Source organism: Homo sapiens, chromosome 3 (genome assembly GCF_000001405.40).
Source record: "Homo sapiens chromosome 3, GRCh38.p14 Primary Assembly".
NCBI lineage: Eukaryota > Metazoa > Chordata > Mammalia > Primates > Hominidae > Homo > Homo sapiens.
The window spans coordinates 729,724-754,299 of NC_000003.12; the positions used below are offsets into that span (position 1 = coordinate 729,724).

At 34.8% G+C, this 24,576-nt stretch overlaps 1 long non-coding RNA gene across 1 annotated transcript in view; it reads left to right on the forward strand.

Annotated features, from left to right (window-relative positions):
* Positions 1-24,576, forward strand: part of LINC01266 (long intergenic non-protein coding RNA 1266) — a 253,911-nt gene that overhangs the window by 137,619 nt on the left and 91,716 nt on the right. The window contains exon 2 of the long non-coding RNA NR_110118.1: positions 20,492-20,527. This is a non-coding gene — a long non-coding RNA (long intergenic non-protein coding RNA 1266). The remainder of the gene's footprint in view (positions 1-20,491; positions 20,528-24,576) is intronic.

A 24,576-nucleotide genomic window follows, 5' to 3' on the forward strand; every position in this document is an offset into this window, starting at 1 on the left:
AGACAAATATTTAGGAAATGGTGGTTGAATATGTCTACATATCAGTATTTTCCCTATTTTCTTTCCTTGCTTCCTTCCCTCCTTCCTTATTCCTTCTTTCTTTTGTATTTTTCTTTGCCTTTCTTCTATATTTTTCTTAAGTATTTTCATTAGTGTTGTTGCTTTAAATGTATATTACACTTATAATAAAATTAGTTTTCAAAATTAGGAAAAGCTCAGATCTTCTGATGCTTTTTAAATAGAGGAGGAGACAGAACGTGCACATAACACATTTGTTTACTATGAATTTGTAACATCCATATTCCCTACTTTTTTAGTGGCTTACAAATTATACTATTTTTAATTAAAATTTTTAATTAAAATGATAGAATACCTCCCAAGAACAATGTTAGACTGAATTCTGACTTCATGATTATGTTTTGAGATTTTTGATCATTAGATAATTTTACAATTTAAAATCTAGTTAACTAAATTCTCAGGCTGGGCGTGGTGGCTCAGGCCTGCAATCTCAGCACTTTGGGAAGCCGAGGTGGTCAGATCACTTGAGGTCAAGAGTTCGAGAACAGCCTGGCCAACATGGTGAAACCTCGCCTCTACTGAAAATACAAAAATTAGTCGAGCGTGGTGGTGGGCGCCTGTAATCCCAGCTACTTGGGAGGCTGAGGCAGGAGAATCACTTGAACTCAGGAGGTGCAGGTTGCAATGAGCCGAGATCGTGCCACTGCACTCCATCCATCCTGGATGACAAAGTATCCTTCCTGCCTCCCTCCCTCCCTTCCTTCCTTCTTTTCTTCCTTCCTTCCTTCCGTTCTTCCTTCCTTCCGTCCCTCTTTCCTTATTCCTTCTTTCCTTATTTTCTTTGCCTTTCTTCTATATTTTTCTTTTGTATTTTCGTTTTTGTTGTTGCTTTAAATGTATATTACACTTATAATAAAATTAGTTTTCAAAATTAGGAAAAGCTCAGATCTTCTGATGCTTTTTGGACAAAATTGGAGACAGAATTGCACGTAACACATTTGTTTACTTTGAATTTGTTACATCCAAATTCTGCTAAAAGACTGGAGATATTGTGTCTATACATTTGGAAGCCAAATATGAGATAGCAGAGAGTGGTGAAATCACCCTTGAAATGAGAATTATAAAACTGGAAACAAGACCTAGTTGTATCTTTACTGGCTAGGGGATCTTGGGCTGCTTCAGTTAGTGAAAAGAACACCAGTTTGGCATCACAATGCCTGACTTAACCTGCTGGCCCCAATATATATTCGTTGTGTGACACTAGACACCATTTAAGTTTGCTTATCTTCAATTTCCTCAGTATAAAAGAAGAAAAAATGATTATTATGTTCATACCGTTAAGTTAAAGTTATATAATATGTGTCACACTGCAAATAAAGTATATTAATTATGTGCATAAACCCACTTATTACTCACTAAACAATAAAAAAACTACCAAAAAACTAACGTTTTTATTGCATAAATATAAATATAACCTTAAGATTTACTGTGATCTTGTACAAGTGTATATAAAATCAAACACTAGACATCTCTTTTAGAGAGTTTTATTTTTCAGTGTCTGTGCTTATCTTAAATGAGTACTATTTAGATTATAATTTAAGCAGTATGGATGTCAGTGGTTGAAGTTCATTTCATTTTATACATTACATAATGTGTCATTAATAGGAAGCACTTATTCTTAACTATGATTTTTCTTGTCTCTTACGAGAACTCAGAATTTGAAAACCTGTGAAAGTAATCTAAATATTCTTCCCATTGCAGGAGGCTTTTGTGCATTACTGCTGGGTGATGGTCTTTCATTGATTCTATGAACTTGCCAAGCATAGGAATTCTGTTTACTGTTTTTCTGCCCAATATGGTAGTAAATCACTCCAAGAGTTGGTAAAATGACTGCATATTGGGAAGTTCTGTACCATCAGTTTTTTCAGCAATCATCTGAGGGATCAAAACAGATCTGATTCACCAGAGACTACCTTAAAAAACCAGAATGGCAGTTGATTTAAAATTGAAGATATATGTGGCCTAAGATGCAGAACTATTTGTCTTCACAGGGCATAAACCTTCTAGTGGGAAAATCCATTCCATTTATCAAATTATAGGCCAGAAGTTTATTTTGCGAGCAAAGGGATTTGAGGGTTTTAAGGGGTATTTCTATGTTCTCTAGCAAAGAGAGCTCCTTTACTCTGAGGATATTTCTTCCTAAAGAAGTAGGACTCAGTTTCTAAGATCTGTGCAGTCTTTCCCACTATATAATCTGATACAAAAACGTTACTAATGTTTGAATGTTTCTTAATTGTTGCTACAAGTTTGCTTTTTACATGACCATATTTATTAGCCTGTTCACAGGCTGCTAATAAAGACATATCCGAGACTGGGTAATTTATAAAGGAAAGAGGTTCAATGGACTCACAGTTCCACATGGCTGGGGGAGGCCTCACAATCATGGCAGAAGAGGAAGGAAGAACAAAAGGACATCTTACAAGAGAGTGTGTGCAGGAGATCTGCCCTTTATAAAACCATCAGATCTCATGAGACTTATTCACTATCACAAGAACAGCATGGGAAAGACCTGCCCCCCATGATTCAATTACCTCCCACCGGGTACTCCCACTACACTTGGGAATTATGGGATCTACCATTCAAGATGAGATTTGGGTGGGGACACAGCCAACCATATCACTACATGAATACACTGAAACCCACCCAATCCACCCAATTTATTTCCACTACACTACATCAAAAGAGATAGTGTACAAAAGGATGCTGGTTTTTGTGGCCTGCCAAATTTGAGGCAAAATCATGACAGTGGTTCATCTGACCACCGTCTTCTTTTCTTGGTAATGTACTGAAACTTCTTAATTCTCAAAACTAAGAGTAATTTCTGTAAATGAGAAACTGAAAATATTACTTGAAAGAGTTTCAAGGAAGTTGGATTCTATTCCCAGTTTCATCGCTGAGGAGCATATCACTTTAGCTTTTTGAGTCCTAGTTTTCACTTCTGTAAAATGAGAAGACAGAGTGGGTTGAATTCTAAAATCAGTTGTAGGGCTAAGATGATGACTTACCATGCTACAGTTTGGGGTAGTTTCTTATTGATATGAATAATATTTTGTGCATTATTTACATTAAAAATTTTTATTGTTTTCAGAACCAAATGACCTTTTTCTCTAAAAAAATACATATTTTTAGATATTTCTTGCTTTATGGGTCACAAAATGTAGCCACAATAATCAGAAAAGGACCAATATTGTTGACAAAGTGAACAACTAAGAAATGTAATACTTGAGCCCCAGAGCTGGCTTTTAACTTAAATAGTAAATTTCTAAATTTTGATTACTATAAATAATATTATCACTATAATTATCTTCCACAACAGGGAAGACCACAGTGGCTCTGAAGAACTAAATAAAACCTAGATATCACACATATTTGAGAGAACAAAAATTCACAATAGGAAGCTGTACAATATTTGGGAATTCTTTTCACAGTTTAAACTTTCTCTGTCTTCAAATATCCCTATTACAGCAAAATCCCACCTACTCACAATTGTACGTATTCAAAATGGGACCTCAGAACACAAGCAGGTGGAAATCACAGGTCATGGCCACAGTTGAAATGATATGTCTTTGCTAATTTAAAAACACACTCTTGTGATGAGCAGTTTTGCATATTTAATATAAATATTACATCAAAAATAGATTGTGCTTGCTCTGCAATGTTGCCCTTATAAGCCCTGGAGGGATGTGATCATTTTCTGCTGACTCTGCTATATATGACGGTTTGTAAATTAATACTAACCTTCTCAATGGTAAATGTTGGCCCAGCCCTACAGTAATTATGTAACGCAGAAAACTTGAGCAATCAGACATGTTTCAATGGTAAATATTTTGTCTCTCCCCACCCCCGGTATTATGTATTAACGAATACATTATTACCTGCTCAAGCATTTTCTCTTTTCTGTCTCAATCAGTATTATGGTCCGTGATATAATTAAATGTTTCATTTTGAACAAAAACATTTATTTTATTGCTCACCAAGGCTGTTCAATTTTAGCCTTTGGCCATATGACTTTAATCAGAAGTATTTGTGATTTAGAGCACTATAGCATGTTTATTTTTGCAATTTATTTTAACAGCCCATGGGAAAATGACAGTAAATAGCTTGTAATTTTTGTAAGTAATAAAAAAATAGCTGTGACCTATGATTGAAGGAAAAAAAAATTCAGGGACTTTCCTGTAGAAATAGACTGTCATCGTTTGAAAACTCAACATTTTCTAAATTACTATTTATTTTTAATGATCAAAGGCTTCTTACACATTGTCTCTTCCAGTGATTCTCAAAGTGTTATACTTAGACTACTGCATGATAATAAATTGGAAAATGTCTTTAAAAAATAGATTTCTTTGCCAGACGCAGTGGCTCACACCTGTAATTCAAGCACTTTGAGAGGACGAGGCAGGAGAATCACTTGCGCTCAGGAATTCGAGACCAGCCTGGGCAACAATATGAGACCCTGTCTCTGCAAAAAATACAAAAATTAGCCAAGCGTGCTGGCACATGCCTATAGTCCTAGCTACTTGAGAGGCTGAGACAGGAGGATTGCTTGAGCCCAGGAGACAGAGGTTGCAGAGAGCTATGATTGCACCACTGCACCCCAGCCTGAGCAAAAGAGCAAGACCCTGTCTCCAATAATAGTAGTAGTAATAATAATAATGATGGATTTGTTGGCACTACCCAGAATTATTGAATAAGAAAATTTTGTGAGCAGAATCTCAGGCTCTGCATTTTGTATAAGCTTACCAGCTAATTCTTTTGAATATTTAAGTTTGCATTATCCTATTTTAAAATTCTATTTTTTCATATAAACTGCAATCATGAGAAAATATAGGACTTTTTCCCCAATCTCACAAGTTAACTGCAGAATTTGAATGAGAATTCAGATCTCTTTATTCCTAAGACAATTTCTAGAGACAATACATACTGGATTTCAATTTATTTTTCATCCTACACAGTTGGTATAAAATTAATTTTATAAATAAGAACCTTTTATATTACTAGGATAAAAGTAGCATTCTAACAATTTTTCATCTTTAGGTTGGTGTCTCACCTACTTATGTAAACTTTTTCTAGCTTAATCAGTCTAATATATCATTCTTTTTTTTTCTGAGACAAAGTTCTAAACTCATGACATCCGATCACGTGTTCCCGTCTCAAAATTACTTGTTTTGCTCTCATTTGTGTATTTCCCATTTGTATTAATCAAGATATACTAGGTTATGCTGCATTAACAAATGAACATGCCAAAGTCACAGTGGCATAGTGCAGTCAGTGAAAGTTTATTTTTCAGCCATACTACATATCCAGCATGGCTCAGCAGGGATCTCTGCTCCATTCTGATGCTATTAGTGCTATTAAGCAAATATTACTGGTCCGGCCCCCTCTGACACATGGTAAAATTACACATGCATGCTTTTTTTGCAATTACATTGGGCAATTAATTAGTTCTTCCAGATATCCTGTAAGCAGAAGTTGCAGGCATTGCACTGCAACATTTAATTGCTGGTGTGAGAACCTCCAGACATCATCTCTCTGGCATTACAATTGGTAACATTGAAAATGGTAACTATTCCTTCAGTGTGCATCTTTGAGGTACCATAAGGAGCAGAGATTTGCCTCAGATTCACAAGAGATATATTGTACAAGAGAAAAATAAAGTTGTGTTGTTTTGTCTTCTGAGATTGTTAGAATTGTTTGTTACCTTCGCATAACATTGACTATCTGGACTCAGATATCCTCAGAAATATATATACAGAGAGATCCAGCATGGAAGAGGCTGTGCTTCCTTGTATCTGCAATATTTTAAACATGTGGCGTTTTTGTCCCCATGACATAGAAAATGTCTGAAAAAGTTTACACAGCTTTTTCATTCCTCAAGCTAACAATAATAGGATATTTTTCCTCACAGCCCGTTATCCAGAACTAATCACATGACTCCAACATACTAAAAGAAGGGTAATAAATGCAATTTTTAATTTTGGGAGAGGAAAAGAAGAACTTGATATTAATAAAAACTAGTAATGGGGTAGACTTCATTGAATAAACTTTATATTTTTGTTCATAGAAAATTTTCCCTCATATATAATTTGGAAGTCAAGAACAAATTTGTTGACTTGGGATAATATCAAGAAGTCATAATGGAATATGCAGATATATGTGCCTGTAATAAAATAAAGTCCTAAAAAGAAAAAATAATAAATAGATTTTTAAAGCATGGTAAATATATTTGCATATTATGACAGAGGTCAACACCCTTACTCTATTAAAAATATTTACAAATCAATGTTTAAATAATGGAAACGTAATCATATAAAACCAGGAAAAAAAGTGAATAGTCACTCAAATCGTAATATGAATACCCAAATCTAGTAAACCTCTGAAAAAAATGTTCACTGTTATTCTTCTCAAAAAATGAAAATTTAAAAATCAAGTATATATTCTGCCTACCAATTGTCAAAAACATTTTGAAATATATTAATAGCAAGAGGCAGACTTGAAGGGAGCAAACTTCCCTAGAACATCTATAAGTAGTTAGGGGATCAATTTTAAAACGTTTATGAAAATTAAAAATAGAAAATATATCCCAGGGAAACATTCAAAAAGTATACAAAGATATATATTTGAGAATATTCACTGTAGCAGCATTTTCAAAACTAAAAATTTAGAAATGTTTGTAAATAGGAGATAGTTCAGTAAATCATGGTACAGAAAGACAGTGGAATTCTGTTACAGATAGAAAGCAAAATAAACACAGGACTTTCAGTTAGGAGCATGTTGGGTATATGTGAGAAAAAAATGTCAGTGAGGTCATGACATACTTGGCTAGAGAGAGAAAAATGAGAGGTTCGGTGATGAAGGTTAAATCATAGATGGTTTGTAGGCCAACATAAGAACTTAGAGCTTCACTCAAATTTGAGCCTTTTTGATGAATTTGACCAAAAGAGTAAAATTACTTGGATGACCACTTGTAAGGATCTCTCTACCTATTTTGTGGTGAATTGATTAAAATGAAAATAATATAAGCAGGGAGACCAGGTAGATGACTATTTCCTGAAGCAAAATAAGAGATGTTGGTAACTTGGGATAGGATAATAGTAATGAAAAATATGGAATAATTTTAAGGTTAAAAAATTAAGATTTGCTGATGGACTAGATACAGTGAGTGAGAGAAGGAAAGGTATTAAAAAGTAATCCAAGTCTACCTTGATCAAGTGAAAGGCTGCATTGAAAAGACAGAAAGAAGTAGGTTTATGAGAAAATCAAAAATTTACTTCGGAGCATATTAAAGTTGAGTTGCCTATTTTGCATCAAATGGAGATGTAAATGAAGCAGTTGGGTATACAAACGTGAGTGAAGAGATACATTTTAGAAGCATCAGTGCATAAATTTTATTAAAGGCTTTTTAAAGTAATGACCTTGAAAGATCATCTATAGTGAGTAAGTAGACAGAGACAGAAGGCATCTATGGATCAAGTCCTGGAGTAATCCAATAGGTAGAGCTTGCAAGATGAGGCAGAGCTAGCTAGTAATAGAGAAAAGAAGTAATTTTTGAGATTCAAAAAAAAAAAAAAAAATGAAAGAGTGGCATCCAGAAGCCAAGTGAAGGTATTTAAAGGGGGATTTTAATCAACTCTATCAAATACAATTTATAGTCAAATAAGATGGCTGAAAATTGACAACATGAGTTGGCAGTATGACTATTATTGGTAGCATTTGTATGAACGTCTCATGATGGAAAATGAAAGTCTAATTGAAATGACTTTGAGACAATGGAAGAAAAGGACACAAAAAGAGTGAGACGATTTTCTGTATGCAAGCAGAGGCTGAATAGTAGACAGCAGGGTATATGAGATGAAGGTAGGTTTTTATATGATAGATATTATAGCTTGCTTATATGCTGATGACAAAAATCCAGTAAAGTAGGAAAATTAAGGTTACATAAAATAGAAAAAATAGTAACCAGGAGAGGGTGAGACAAGGGCTCTTGTTTGTTTATTTCAACTGAGGAGTCAAATTTCTTTCATTTTTAAGAATAAGTACAGCATTGTACTTCAAGAGCAAAAAATAAAGAGCAAGGTACCATGGTGAAGAAAGGTGGGGCAGGAGGGGGAAAGAAGGTGAAAGATAATTTATACCATTTTTTGCTAATAATTTTTATATTATCTAATTTAGTCTTTATTTTTACTTTTTGAACAGAATTTTTTAAAAACAGTTTTAGAGTGACAGAAAAATTGGGCAGAAAGTACAGAGAATTTTTGTATGCTTCCCGCTCCCACACACATAGCATCTTCCTCTATCAATATTTTGCACCAGAGTGACACATTTTTTACAATTAAAAACCTACATTAACACGTCAATGTTACTCAAAGTCTATAGCTTACATTAGGGTACACTCTTGGTGTCATACATTCTATGGGTTTTGACAAATGTATAATGGCATGTATCTATAAATAAATTTTTATTATCAAAGTATCATAAATAATAACTATGATAAAAATATTTTATCATAAAGTATCATAAATAATAATTTTATTACCCTAAAAATCCTCTGTGCTCTAGTCATCCCTCCATCCCCACCCAATGCCTGAAAACCATTGATTGTCTTATTGTCCTGCAATTTTTTCTATAATTTTATTGTGGTATAATAAACAACATAAAATTCGCTTTCTTAACAATTTTAAGTTTACAGTTCGGTGGTATTAAATATACTCATAATGTTGTGCAACATTCACCACCGTTCATCTCTATAATTCTTTTCCTCTTTTAAAACTTAAATTCTGTTATACACACTAAACAATAATTTTCTATGCACTCATCCTGAAGCCCCTCACCAACACTATTCTAATTTCTGTCTCTATGATTTTGACTGCTATCAGTATACTTCTTATAAGCAAAACCTATAGTATCATTCTTTATATGACTGGATTATTTCACATAGCAAAATGCCCTTAAGATGTATCCAAGTTTTAGCATGTATCAGAATTTTCTCCTTTTTTAAATGCTAAATAACATTCCATTATACCCATACATCACATTTTCTTTGGGTTTAGGTATATCTCTCATAGACAGACCATGTGTTTTTAACTATTCTGTCAATCTCTGTTTTTACATTCCATTTACATTTAAAGTAATTACTGAAACGAGGAGGGGCTTCTGTGTTTTTGCTCTTTGTTTTCTATATACGTTATAGCTGTTTTGTTCCTCATTTCCAGAATTATTGTCTTACATTGTGTTTAGCTGATTTCTTACAGCGAAATATTTAAAATCCTTTCTTATTTCCTTTTATGTATATTATATCCCTATTTTCCTTGTGGTTACCATGGGAATTACATTTAACGGCCTAAAGTTATAACACTCTCATTTTGTTTATGCCGACTTAAGTAACATAGGAAACCCTTTACCACTTAATGGCCCTGTTGCCACTCCTTTTGGTTGTTGATGTGACAAAATTACATCTTTATACATCCGGTGCCCCAAAACATAAACTGATAATTCTTTTAAATACATTGGTCTCTTAAAATATGTGGAAAACAAAATGTTGTGTTACAAACCAAAGTTACAATTATTCTAGCTTTTAGATTAATAACTGTTTATTTTTAAATGTAGTAGTCTCTTAAATCATGTAGAAAACAAAAAGTAAAGTTACAACTTACTGTTGTAAGTAAAGTTACAAATTATTGTTGTTACAATAATACTAGCTTTTGTAATTGCCCATGTATTTACCTTTATAGAGGTATTTATCTCTTCACATGACTTTGAATTACTGTCTACTCTCCTTTCATTTCACCCTATGGAACCCACTTAAGCATATCTTGCAAAGTAGGTCTAGTGGAAACAAATTCCCTCAGATTTTATCTGGGAATCTCAGTTTCACCCTCACTTTTGAAGGATGGTTTTGTCAGATTTAGAATTCTTCGCTAACAATTTGAAAATATTTTTTCAGCACATTAAGTATCTTGGTCCACTAACTTCTGCCCTACAAAGTTTCTGATGAGAAATAAGTGGATAATGTTACTGAGGATTCCTTGTGTATAAGTCACTTCTCTGTTGCTACTTGAAAGATTTTCTCCTTGTTTTTGGCTTTTAAAAGTTTGATTTTAATGTGTCTATGTGTGGGTCTCTTTATTTTTATTCTCTTTGAAGTTTGAGATTCTTGGATACTTACATTCATATGAGAAGTTTTCAGCAATTATTTCTTCAAATAATTTCTCTTTCTGTCTCTCTTGCTCGCTCACTCACTCTCTCTGTCTTCTGGGACTTCTACAATGCATATGTTAATTTATTTGTTGGTTTCCCAGATATCATTTAGGTTCTGTTCATATTTATTCAATATTTTTGTTCCTGTTTTTCAGAATCAATATTTATTGTTGTATCTTCAAGTTTGCTGATTTTTTCTTTTGCTTACACAAATTTGCCTTTGAATCCCTCTGTAAATTTTCCATTTCAAATACTGTACTTTTCAGCTCCAGAACTTTAGGTTCAGAATTTCTTTTTTTCTATCTCTTTATTGATAATTACATTTTGCTGTTAGGTAGTTTTCTTGACTTTATCTATATCTTCCTTTAGTTCTATATCTTCCTTAACATCTTTAAGATGGACATTTTGAAGTTTTGTCTATGGATCTGCCATCAAGTCTTTTTGGGTATAGTGTCGGTTGATTTTTTTTTCCTTTGAAAGGCCATGCTTTCTTGTTTCTTTGTGTGTTTTGTGTTGTTGTAAAAAATGGATACTTGAATCTAATAATGTGGTAACCCTGGTAATCTGACCCTTCCCCCTTCCTCAGAGTTTGTCAGTTTTTGATATTCTTTTTATTTATCGTTTTGCTTTTTGTATTGTTGTAGGCTATCTCTCATTCTGGGATCAGCCTGAGGTAAAATAATAAATTCTTGTCAAGTCTTTTCTGAATCTATGCCTTTTCCTTAACATGCACAGTCACTTTTTAATGTTCCCCAATATATACAATTGCTTTTAAATATATCAGTGTTTAATGCCTGGCTCTCAAAAGAGAAAAAAGAAAAAAAAATTAAAAAATTAGTTGGAGAAGCACTGGAAAGTCACTTCAGCCAGAGGTAAAGGGGCTTTCAACAATGGCGAGACGTGAAAAATCAATGGCAGCTCGTGGCTTGTCTGCACCTCTCTGATAAGAAGCAGCTGTCAGAAGAACAACCCCAAATATCTGGAGGACAGAGTCCTTTGTGCTCACCCTGGCTCCTTACAGTTCTGTCCAGTCTGCTTCAGGAACATATGCATAGCTGTCTACCACAGCGATGTATGCGGAGAATGGGTAGCAGGTGCTGTACTGAGTGCTAAACTTGATGGAAGTTAACTGCAATTTTCCATCCCAGCATTCCCCTGGAAGTTGCAAACTTTCAATAGACTCCAGGGTTCCAAAGAGTTACATCAGACAGATTCTGCCAGTGCTATTGTTATCTAGGTGGGGAGACAGATTCCTGGTGCTTCCTACGCCACCACTTTTTCAGAATCCTCTGGAATGAACTCCTTTGCAGAAGCAAAGAAGTTGGTCTTTGTTGAGACTACAGACAAATAATCCATAATAGTAGTACTGGTTATAGAGTGTATGGGTTACAGTTACTGACAAATTTTGAGAAGTTGTTATTGATGCTAATGGAGTACTCTTCTACCTGATTCTATTTCCTCAGTAAAATGAGAAGCAGTTTTTTAGCTGAGGATGAGAAGAGGGTTTGAAACAGAAAGAAAAACAGAGATTGAAAAAGGAGTTGAGGATTTATGCAAATGAGAAATTATATTGTTGAACCTTGGAACAGCAAAAGTCACTAGGATCAATAGATAATAGGTCCTGTGAGGTTGAAAGATCACTGAAGCTGGATAGATAAGAAACGAAGACTGAAAAATGGAATACTTGAAATTAAGATTATGAAGCAGATGCAGTTATTGACAGTAAAACATCTAGGTTATGGTCATGAGAGTGGGTGACTAAGACAGCATGGGAGGCAAAATTATGAAAGGACAGAAGGACCAGGAAATGAGACAACAGGATTCTAAAATGGCTGCACATATTTTTAAAATCACCAAGAATTATAACAGAAGTTGGGGTTGAGAGAGTAACAGTAGGCCCATGTGCTATAACCCTCAACAATGTGGAAGAGAAAACCCAAGGGGGTGCCACTGAGTAAAACAAGGAAGGGAGGCAGTTGTAGAATGTGATGACATGAGCTACAAAAGGGCATTTGTAGGGAGCTGCAAGAAATCATGGCCTGAAAGGAGCATTGAAAAGCAAAGAGACTATATTCCACGTTCAGGACCAGGGAATGGGAGAAAAAAATTCACAACTTAGAGAGGGTCACAGGCAAAGCCACGTCTTCGGGGAAGAGCTATTATTCAATCACAGCTAAGTCGTTAGAGGGATGTTCAGAAAAACAAACAAACAAAAAACAGAAAATATGAGCTAACTTATTGGAACTATGAATTCTACAGGGCAGAGCAAGAACAGAACAGCTTTAGGAGTCAAGGAGAGTGGGAGGTGGGGTCAGACTGAGGTTGTCAGTGCCATATGGGGAAAAGGGCCCTGCAACAACTAACATAAACAGAGATGTGGGACATGATTACATGAGCTCTGATAGTCTGTGAGACAGAGTGTGGTAGACTGGCAAATGTGTGTTGGAGGGGAGGGATGGTGGTGTTACTAGGAGCACACAATGATCTGGACTGTCCTCTTTTCACTCTTCTCTAGGTTTGTGAGGAAGCTTTGGAAAGGGACAGAATCAGAACTGTGGGCATATCCATACCAGAATATTAGCAGTAAATATCCCGGCATGGTGGCATTATGCATGACACTGATTTTCTCATTTTTTATTTAGTATTTTTAAGTACAATTGTCCTGCTGTGTCAGTAGTGGGTTCTTCATCCATGGATTCAACCAACCGTGAATAGAAAACATTCGGAAAAATAATGCCACTGTACTGAACACGTACCACACTTTTAAAATTCCTGTAATTTTCTAACCAATACAGTGTAACAACTATTTACATAAAATCTACATTGTATCAGGCGTTATAAGTAATCTAGAGAAGACTTAAAGTATATGGAAGATTGTTTGTAGTTTATATGCAAATACTACGCTCTTTTATGTAAGGGACTTGAACATCCATGGACTCTGGTATCTGTGGGGGTCCTGGAATCAATCCCTCACAGATATCTGTATTTATTTTAAGTGAATGTGTATTATGGAATATAAATATAAATATATGTATATGCACACACACACATATATATACACAATATATACACACATATATATACACAATATAAGTGTATATATATGTGTGTGTGTTGTCATTTTTCAACTTAAGTTTAAAAAATTGCCTAGAAGGGATAAAACAAAAATAGAGCTCCAGATATCTAATGTTCTTTTCAGAAAGAAATCTTTATATCTCTGTTTTACTTCAGCTGTATTTTTTAAACTACTTGGCTAAAGTAAACCCACGTTCATAGAGAAAATCACTATTATTTTGCATAAAGTTGTGAAGTCTAAGGCTGAATAGAGTCTAACAATCATATTTATTGATGTGTCTGTTGTTAAACACTGAGCAGATGTCTCCATTAGAGCCTCTATAATGATGTCTAGATCATTTTAGGGAGATTTTTACTAATTTCAAGCTACATAGTGATTCCTTCCACATCAAATTTTTACTTCTTAGATATTTCTTGTATTTCTTATCCCCTAATATGGAGACTATTAGGCTCTCATTATTTCTTTCCCACTCCTCAGGGTTATCAGGAGGATTATAAGCATGAGCTCTGGAATTAGACTTCTAGTGTTTGAATCCCATTGATGTCTAAAAGATATGGCCTTTGCCCTCATAATTTGCAATGTAATCATTGAAGAGAGGCAGGTACATCAGTTTCTACAACACAATGTAGACAGAAGTAAGTATCATAAAAATAATATTGGCTGAATTGGTAGAAAATATCATGGAGGGAATGGCTTTTGAGTGGGGATTGAATAAACAGAGTGTTTTAGGAATAAAAATGGTGTTAGGAAGAAAAGTTCAAGCAAAGAATAATTTTAGTGAAGGTATAAAAATGATGAACTGCTCTCATCTTCAGGGGAGGGTCTAGAAGGATGGGAGTAAATATTGAGTAGGGGAAAATTGAGAGATGTGGTTAAAAATACCTTGTTTGGACATGAATACTAGCCTAATAATTCTGATTTGCTTTACTATCCATTTGACTTTATGGATCATTAAAAAATTTTAGTATAAATGCTGATCGCTGGTATATATCTCTCTAAGCTTGTTTCTGCACATGAGAGCAATCAGGAAAACATTTTCAATCAATCACTTATTTTACTAGCTGGTGCCAGGCAAATGGCTTTCCTGATTTTTTTTCAATCTTTAAAATTGACTTAACGACTATTTTTTTAAGTTAATTGGGTGGTTCAGGGTAAGTTTAAATGCAAACAAAACACTTAGCATAGGAGAGCGAGTGCGTAAATTCACAGTGGGAGCAAACATCAGGGCAACAAAAAAATTAGAGCCATTTTTGAGTCATTGACCACCCACATTTGAGAGTTTTTTCCTGGATGAACATTCCTTCTGCCTTTGGAAATAAATTAATGTTTTAGAGCAGGGGTTAGCACACTTTTTCCATAGAGAACCAGATAGTAAATATTTTGGGCCTTGCTGGATAAATAGTCTCTGTCACAGGACTTGTCTCTACTTTTATAGGGTGAAAACACCTGTAGACAATGTGTAAATGAGTGGGCATGGTTGTCTTCCATCTAAACATTATTTACATAGTGGGTAGTAGATCATATCTGAGCCACAGTCATAGCTGGCTGACCCTGTCTTAGAAAATTATTGGGAACAGGTGTGTAAAAAGTTGAAGTAAACAAATGCAATATTAAGATACTATCACATAATGATGAATGTTCACCAAATGTTTTCTTTGAATATCAATGCAAACCTGGCCTGACTTTGATAGTGATACTTCCAACTAAGGGCGGAATCCATAGTCAGCAAAAATTATTATTTTTTGTATGTCTTTTGCTGTTACAGAGCAGAGGAAACAATTAATTCAACTTAGATTAAAGAAAGGCATAGTTTAATAATAAATAGACCTCACAGAAACACAAGCCCAGAAACTAACATAGAGCTGGGTATCATGAGATATAAAAATGGGAGTAAAAATTTAGGACAGTACCAGGTACTTATTTCAGCCCATGGGCAATCTTATTTTTCTTTTAGAAAAAAATCTTTTAAGGCTGGGTAGTTGGCTTATGTCTATAATCCCAAGGCGGGAGGATTGCTTGAACCCAGTGGTTATCAGCCTGGGCAACATGGTGAGACCTTGTCTCCACAAAAATATAAAAAATTAGCTGCGTGTGGTGGTGCATGCCTGCAGTTCCAGCTACTGGGAAGACTGAGGTGGGAGGATTGCTTGAGCTTGGGAGTCAAGGCTGCAATGAGCCATGATCGCACCACTGCACTCCAGCCTAGGCAACAGAGTGAGACCCTGTCTCAAAACAAAACAAAACAAAAAGAAAAACCCTGTAAGATTAATGTTGATATTATCCCCATCTTACAAATAAGAAAACTGAGTCACAGACCACTGCTAAAGAAGTTTCTCTTGGCCACAGCTTAGAAAATATTAGAGCCAGATTTTTTATCCAGCCAGTTCACCTCAGGAGCCAGTAATCTTAGACGTTGACCAACTGGTTTAAGTCAATTTGCTCTTTGAAGTTTGAGCTAAACTGTGAAAACAACTAGGATTTATCTAATCATAGTAGCTAACATCTGTGAATCAATATATGCCAGGGCTTTATACAAATCAGCTCCTTTAATCTTCACAACCCTACTTAATGGACGAAAAAAAGAGACACTGTCACCGAAAGTGATATAAATGCAATTGGTAGAGCCAGGACTCTATCCTGGTGAGTCTGCCCTTAGAGAGTATAAACTTAATCTTTAGGGCAAGCAAAATAATGTTAAAAAACATAATATATGATGTGCAGAGACCAGGCTGCTGAAATCAGCAAGAGACTGATTTGCTAGGCAAGGTGGTTCCCAGATTATGGAACCAGTGAAGGAGGATAATTTTTTAATATAGGAAGCAACTGAGAACCACTGTAGAGTTGTCAGTCAGGAAGGTTTGCTTGATAGCAGTAAACACTGGAGACTGTAAGGGAGTTTGAAAAATGAGGGATCCAAAAGCAATCATGAGTTTTGTGTTATCCTGCAGAAGAGTGAGAGTAGTAAGAAACTGAGAAGAGAGAATTACTTGGAGACATATTTCAAAGGAAAATATTATTTGACACTGACAGGTCACAGAAGATAAAGCAAAAAATAGTCAAGATTAATTCACATGCTTAGCCTGGGATACCCTGACAAATGATGTTATCACAGACAAACTGAATAAGTTTAGTTAAAGAAGCCAGTTTGAATTAAAAGTAAGTTTGGTTAAATTCACTCGTAAATTTAAAGAGATATGCCATTTTGGCAATTACAAATCTAGAGATGGAGTACAGTTCATAGAGCATAAAGAGTGAGAAAAGCCATTCAGTTTAGAGGTGAGAACACCATCAGTTACGTATGTCTACAAGAGTAAATTCAACAGAGTGGTGTGAATTGAAGGTCATTTGGTGGGGATGAAATAGGTTAACAATTTGAAACCATAACATAATGAGTTTGCATGGAGTAATAATGCTCATGTTAGATTTCAAGGAATTAATAAAAACGGCAAATGGAAATACAGTTAGCAGGAACCTAGATCATGTAGCACACATTTCAGAACACTGTCCATAACAGAAGGAAACTGCAGTGGTGACTCTAGGACAAATAGGTAGTTTTCCTTTCTTTTTTAAAGTTGGTGAAGACCTAGTTTTTCCTTATTGTATATTTAGTTTTCCTCCTATAGCTCCAAGGTAAAATATATAAGTGCTATTTGTTTCCTAGCAATATTTTTCCCAGAAGCAGAATGATAAGTTGTAGAAGAGATATATTTTAATTATTTATTGAAAATGTAAACTGCTTCAAGCAATATAACACCATAAATAAAAATGGCTAATTTTGAAAGCATGAGAGTGTACACAAGTCTGATAATTTCAATTCTCCATCAACTCAAAGAGGCATCATGGGAGCATTTTATATAATCTTCACTCTCCTTGTCACAAATTCACCCTGAGGGAAACTAATCTTGATGGAGAAGTCTGACTGTCTTGGGTAGGGAAAAATGCATATGTGAGTATTCTCATGATGAAATTTAAACTATGATTTTGGTGAAATATTTGAAATGTAACTAAAAATATAGCTTTCTCCAAATTGCTACAATATAGTTTTTAATTATGTTATCTTTCTCCTTTTTTAAATCTGTGGATCTATTTTCAAGCTATTCCAATAGCTAACATTTTCATTTTTACCCCCTACTCATAAGGTACCACTGTTTGCCGATTATCATGTAAGATTTAATTTTATTGATCATTGCTTATAATGTGTGCCTAGAGACAGAGAACAAGCTTCCCTATCCAATTTCTATTTTCCCTTCAGGTTAATAGGTTTCCCTTTCCCAATCATTGAGTATTGCACATAAGAACAAGGAGAAAAATGTTTGTTGAGGTATATTTAGAAAAGAAAAAGAAGGAAAATCCTCATTTAGTAGTGATCTTGTGTTTTTCTCTAGTTCATTAGAAAATCAGCCAATGTATGAAGACTAAGCTTTAATTAATGAAGTTGTCCTATATTATAAGAGGGTTCCAGGATGTATCTTACATGCAAATGTTTTCATCTTTTTAAGGTAATTCTATTAATATACCTGCTGTGCCCTAAGGGTCCTAGTCTGAGTACATTTATCCCTTTAGCAAGATTTGGGGGTGGAGGCCATTTGTATTCTCTTCTATTCATGTTGGACTTTAGTTGGTGATTAGACACAGTAGACAATGTCATGTAGGGTTAGATATTCATGTATGGCTTAGATGCAGGTAGATTTTACCTCCACAATCATATGAACATTGAGTGTGTCTCATTGGATTTCTGTAAGAATGACATGAAGTGAAGAATTTAAACTTCTTGACAAATTACATGACACAGAAACCACTCCATAAGTGTTAGATAATCTTTTGTACGTGAATGGGAAATAATAATATATATTCATATTTTCATGTTTTGGCCTAAAGGAAATCTAGATATTAAATACTAGATCCTGGTGGGAAGATTATTTTTTTTTCAGGGTGGAAACTGAGCAGATGGAGGACAAGGATGGGGAAGATTTTTCTATACTTTTGTTATGTTTTTGGACTTTAATCCGTATGACTGTATTATATATTTGAAAAGGCAAATATAAAAGTCATCTGAGCTTTTTGTCATCATAATGGTATCCTTTCTGACAATCGTTGCTTTTAATCCTAAAATGTCTCATCAAGTGCCTTTGTCTCACAATTTATCTGTAGAACATATATGCTTGTGTGTGGAATGAGGGCTACTCAGACTGTGAACTCAGAACAGGCAAAATGTAAATGCTCATTTAATTGCTGTTTTGTAGATCTAACCAATTTCTATGACTGTGTGAAAGTGGTTAATGAGGTTTTTCTTTCTCTTTATCAGATGATAGTCCACCTTCTAAGATAAACCTTCTCTGTGTTGAAGTCAGGCTTAGATAAGGAATAAGTTATTAATAATCATGAAATCTAATAATTAATAGCTTTATTAGAAGACTAGGGAGAACTGATTTACTACTAATAGTAATTATTCTTAATTACAGCTAACCTTTGTTGGAGTGTACAGTGCAAAGCACTTTAAATGTATTATTTGATTTCCCTAGCAACCCTATGTGGTACATGGTAGACGGTAGATGCTAGATTAATAAAATGACAAATAACCACTTGGAAAATTTGTCTAAAATCATGTGGCTGGTAAATGGTCTCAGAGCCAAGCCTTTTTAATGCCAAAACTTTTTAATCCCTATGCTCTAGACCATCACACTGCTGTATGTAAGCAGCTTTCAATTATGTAGTTTAAGAAATTTTTATTTAGCAACTATTTCTGGAGTAATTAGTGATTGTTCCATTTTGTAGGGAACTGGGGTTGCCAAGTCGACAGATATTGGGCTCATAATTCATATCATGCATTGACAGCATGTATGCAATTAACCATCTCAAGTGGTAGCACTGTCACGACAAACTGCCTGTTCAGTCTCATGCATTTCTGTAGTATTGTAATCCAAAGATAGTGGGGTCTCATAGAATAAAATCAAATATATTATCCATGATCTGAACTATCAGATATTATCCATATCTGAACAATCCATGAAAACATTTATTGTTTTCCTCAATATCACTCAAAATAGATTTTAGCCCTCTTATAAAGAGTTTAAACAGCAATGATAACAGTAACAAAAATGGCTTTTTATTTTCTGGCTAAATTATACTTTACCTATATTCATGGTTGTTTACAATTAAAAATGATCATTCTCAATAGAATGCATACACATGGTCAAAAGCTGTATCCACATATTACCAAAAGAAACTGGTGATTTTATTTTTTAAAAAAGTAACATTCAAAGTCGTTTTGTTACAGGAAGAAAAAAATGTCTATGAAAGCTGGATATTTTACTTTTCATTTATTTTTGTTGTATCATGTGAAGAGAGCTGGAGATTCTCTGTTTCATAATTTTAATATATGGATTAAATTGGATTATTCAGAAAAATTCTACTTATGACACTTCTCTGTACTGTTTTATTACTTGCAGCTACGTAACTCTAATCCTAATAGAACCCCTGTTATTCATGACGCTATGTAAGCTTTGTTGCATTATTCATGTTTACTTTATTTAAATTTGTGTCTGTGAACTGTTTGATTTGTGAGGCTCTCAGGAAACTGTCATCAACAGAAATGACAAGACCAAGCTTGTAAATTACATTTTTTATATGTGCTAAAGTCTAGACTTCTATGTTTTGCTAAAGAAATCACCCTATTAAAAATAATAACATGTATCCTTAAAGCAGAGTGTCTATGATTTATAGGAGCAATAGGCTTGCTCGGAAGTGGGGTGCCTGCAGTATCTTTACCCTGTTTACTTGTTCCAGGTGCCTATTGACTTCTCACATTGTTGCCACTATAACGCGGATACAAGCTGAAACTCACAATTGTTATGTTTTGAAACTTGCTAAGGTAATGTTTTTCTCTTGCCCTAAATATTTGAAGATATATTTGAATAGATCAGTGTCTTTTCACCCATTTTTAAAGCACACATTGTCTTGTGCTTCTCTTTTTAATAGGATGGAGATGAGTGAGACTTGTTTTCCCATTTTTGACATGCTTGAGCAAGAAAACAAAGCTTTCCACCATCCCCCAAATGGAAAAACTGCACTATGCTAGATGGGTTTTGAAAAATAAAAACACAAATCAAAACCTTCTAACAGCACATCTGTTCTTCTTTACAGGAATTAGACGATATAAGCTGCAGCTCAGAATCAGAGGTAAGCATTACATTTAATCTGTCATGCCTGCAGGTTTTTATGAAGTTCAAACATTTTAAAAGGTTCAGCTTGATAAAACTCCCTCATTATGTTTCTTGAGGTTAGTCCTGTCATCTTTGTCCAGTGTCTCACTAACAACATTTCCAGTTCAGTAAGAGCAGACATTGCTCATTGCATTTTATTTGATCTCAGGCTATTTAATACTATAAGATGTTGTGTGCACACCATTCCTTTGGGATTTTAAACCATTAGGTTAAAGGTACATCCAATTATGTGATATCTTTAAGCAACTTGAAGGTGCAGTTTTATATATAGAAATTTACCACTGAACGATACTGAAATGAAGTTAAGGTTGTGAAACACACTGACAAAAGATAGGGAATCCAAAGTTAGGAATGACATTTTGTCCTTCCCTTGTGCTATACTGAAAATGAAGGAAGTTGAGTTGAGTACAAGATAAACTCAAGGACACTGAGGATTTTACTTTTTAAAATGTCCTTATAGATGCATCATACACAAGGTAACAATAATAGCTGTACTTATGGAATAGCCGGGAGTTTAAAACACCCTTTCACTGATACGATTGTACTGGAACCTTAAAACAGTCCTATTCACATAAGAAATCGGTGATTTTAGTCTGTTTTCCCCAATGAGAACACAGAGAATCTACAAGTAATTATAATTTTTTTTTTACAATTGCAAAAGCAGTAAGAAATGTAGCAGCATGTCAGAGCCTGTTCTTCAGACATCAAGGTTGGTACTGTCTGTACTACACAGTCTCACTGCTGCCTATAAGTATATATGCGTGCACCTATCAACACACTTATGTACAAACACACATACCAGTGGATAGTGAGAGGAAGAACAAAAGAACCAGAGACCAAGTAATATGTATTTGCTGGATAAATTAAGCTGTTCTCTCTTTCATGCAATTCAATTCAAACTGCTTTAAACATTAAAAGAAATGTATTGGCTGATGAAAACATAAAAGTCCAGAGTCACTGTTCTTGTGAGTTTCCTAGATTTGTCCTCAAGTGTGCCAGATTTACTGTGGGCATGCCTTGTGCTTGCAAAAGGTCAATGGCAGTTTCGGGAAATCTGTGACCCAGAGTTCACAGCATAAATCCTGAGTTTCCAATAGGTTGAAATAGCCATGAAACCATCCTGTAGCCAAGCGTAAAGCACATAGACTTGGATTAGCTTCAGTGGTCATCATGGTAAGGGGGAATGGAATATCCTGTTTGCATTGAACAGATATACTTCCCCATTATAGAGAAATTGTCTATCTCATATGACTACAAGGATGTTCTGCAATGGGGAATAGTATATTAATTCTATGCACACAACCTCAATATGTACTATAACTCTGTTTTAGTATGTAACTACTCTGTGCTAGGTATGTAGAATTCTCATTATTTGACTTTAGGTATAAAGGGATACATAAGTGTACTCCTAAATATGTGTAAGATCATACTTATGTTCTGATAAATAAATCCATCAATTCATTTTTATTTCATTCAGTTTAATTTTTATTTGTACACATTTTCATGTATGGGGTACCTGTGAATTTTTATTTGTACACATTGTCGTGTGGGGTTCATGTGAATTTTCTTACATGTGTATAGTGTGTAGTAAACAAGTCAGAATATTTAGGGCGTCCATCGTCTGAATACATTTTGTTAACTATAATCTACCCTGCTATCAAACATTGAATCAATCCCATCTAACTGCATGTTTATACCCTTTAACTCATTTCTCTTTATACTCCCCCTTCCCCCAACTCACTCCTCCCAATCTCTATTATCTTTCTTTCCACTCTCTACCTCCATGTGATCAAATATTTTCACTCCAGCATATAAGTGAGAACATACAATATTTGCCTTTTTGTGCCTGGCTTAGTTCACTAAAGATAATGACCTCCAGTTCCATCAATGTTATGTCAAATGGCATGTTTTCTTTCTTTTTATGGACAAATAGTATTCCATTGTGTATATACCACATTTTCTTTAAACATTCATTCACTGATGGACACTTATCTTTGTTATCTACCTTTGTTATTATAAATAGTGCCATAATAAACATGCAAATACAGGTATTCCTGTGGTATACTGATTTCCTTTGGGTAGATATCAGTAATAGGATTGCTGGATCAAATGATAGTTCCATTTTTAGTGTTTTGAGGTATTTCCATCCTGTTTTGTATAGTGGTTTACTAGTTTACATACCTACCAACTGTGTATGGGTGCTCCCTTTTCTCTGCATCCTTGCCAACATTCATTATTTTTTGTCTTTATAATAATGGCCACTTTGATTGGGGTAAGATGATACCTCCTTGTGGTTTTGATTTGAATTTATCTGATTAGTGACACTGAGAATTTTTCATATAACTCTTGGCCATGGGCATGTCTTCTTTTGAGAAATATGTATTCATGTCCTTTGCACACTTTTTTTCTTTTTTCTTTTTTGAGACAGAATTTCTTTCTTGTTGCCCAGGCTGGAGTGCAATGGCGCGATCTTGGCTCACTGCATCCTCTGCCTCCCAGGTTCAAGCGTTTCTCCTGTCTCAGTCTCCTGAGTAGCTGAGATTACAGGCACATGCCGCCACACCCAGCTAATTTTTGTATTTTTAGTAGAGATGGGTTTCATCTTTTTTTTTCTGTCGAGTTGCTTGATTTCCCTGTATATTCTGGATATTGGTCTGCTGTCATGTGTTTAGTTTGCAAAGATTTTCTCCCATTCAATAGGTTTCTTCACACTGTTCATTATTTCTTTTGTTGTGCAGAAGCTCTTTAGTTTAAGTCTCATTTGTCCATTTTTGTTTTTGTTGTCTCTGCTTTGGAAATCTTAGTCATAAATTCTTTGCCTAGACCAATGCCCAAGAGAGATTTCCCTAGGTTTTCTTCCAGTATTTTTATAGTTTTGGGTCTTACATTTAAGTTTTTAATCCATTTTTGTTGATTTTTGTATATGGTTAGAGATAGGGATCTAGTTTCTTTCTTCTGCATGTGGCTATCCAGTTCTCCCAGCACCATTTATTCAAGAAGGTGTCCTTCCCCCAATATAAATTCTTGTCAGCTTTGTTCAAGATCAGTTGGCTGTAAATATGTGACTGTGTTTCTGGGTTCTCTATTTTGTTCCAGTGGGATATATGTCTATTTTTAAACCAATACCATGTGTTTTGGTTAGTATAGCTTTGTAATATATTTTAAAGTCAGGTAATGTGATGCCTTCAGCATTGTTCCTTTTGTTCAGGATTACTTGGTTATGCAGGCTTTTATTTCACTCTATATGAATTTTAGAACTTTGTACAAAAATTCTGTGAAGAATGATGGTATTTTGATAGGGATTGCATAATCTGTGGTTTTTTTGGGAAATATGGTCATTTTCGTGATATTCTTCTGATCTTTGAGGATGGGATTTTTTCATTTTTGTTCTCTTCTATTTATTTAATCAATGTTTTGTAATTTTCCTTGTAGAGATCTTAAATTTAGTCCTAGGGGCTTTAATTTTTATAGCTATTATAAAAGTCATTGGCTTCCTGATTTCTTTTTCAGATAGATGACTATTGGTATATAGAAATGCTACTTTTTTTTTTTTTTTTTTTTTTTTTTTGAGAAGAACTCTCGCTCTGTCACCTAGGCTGGAGTGCAGTGGCGCGATCTCGGCTCACTGCAAGCTCCACCTCCTGGGTTCCCGCCATTCTCCTGCCTCAGCCTCCCGAGTAGCTGGGACTACAGGTGCCCGCCACCACGCCCGGCTAATTTTTTGTATTTTTAGTAGAGACAGGGTTTCACCATGTTTGCAAGGATGGTCTAGATCTCCTGACCTCAGGATCCACCCGCCTCGGCCTCCCAAAGTGCTGGGATTACAGGTGTGAGCCACCACGTCCGGCCGAAATGCTACTGATTTCTGTATATTGATTTTGTATTCTGCAAACTTACTGAATCCATTTATCAAATCTAAGAGCTTTTTGGTAGAGTTGTTAGGTTGTTCTCAATAAAAGATCATATTATTAGCAAAGAGGAACAATTTGAATTCTTCTTTTCCAA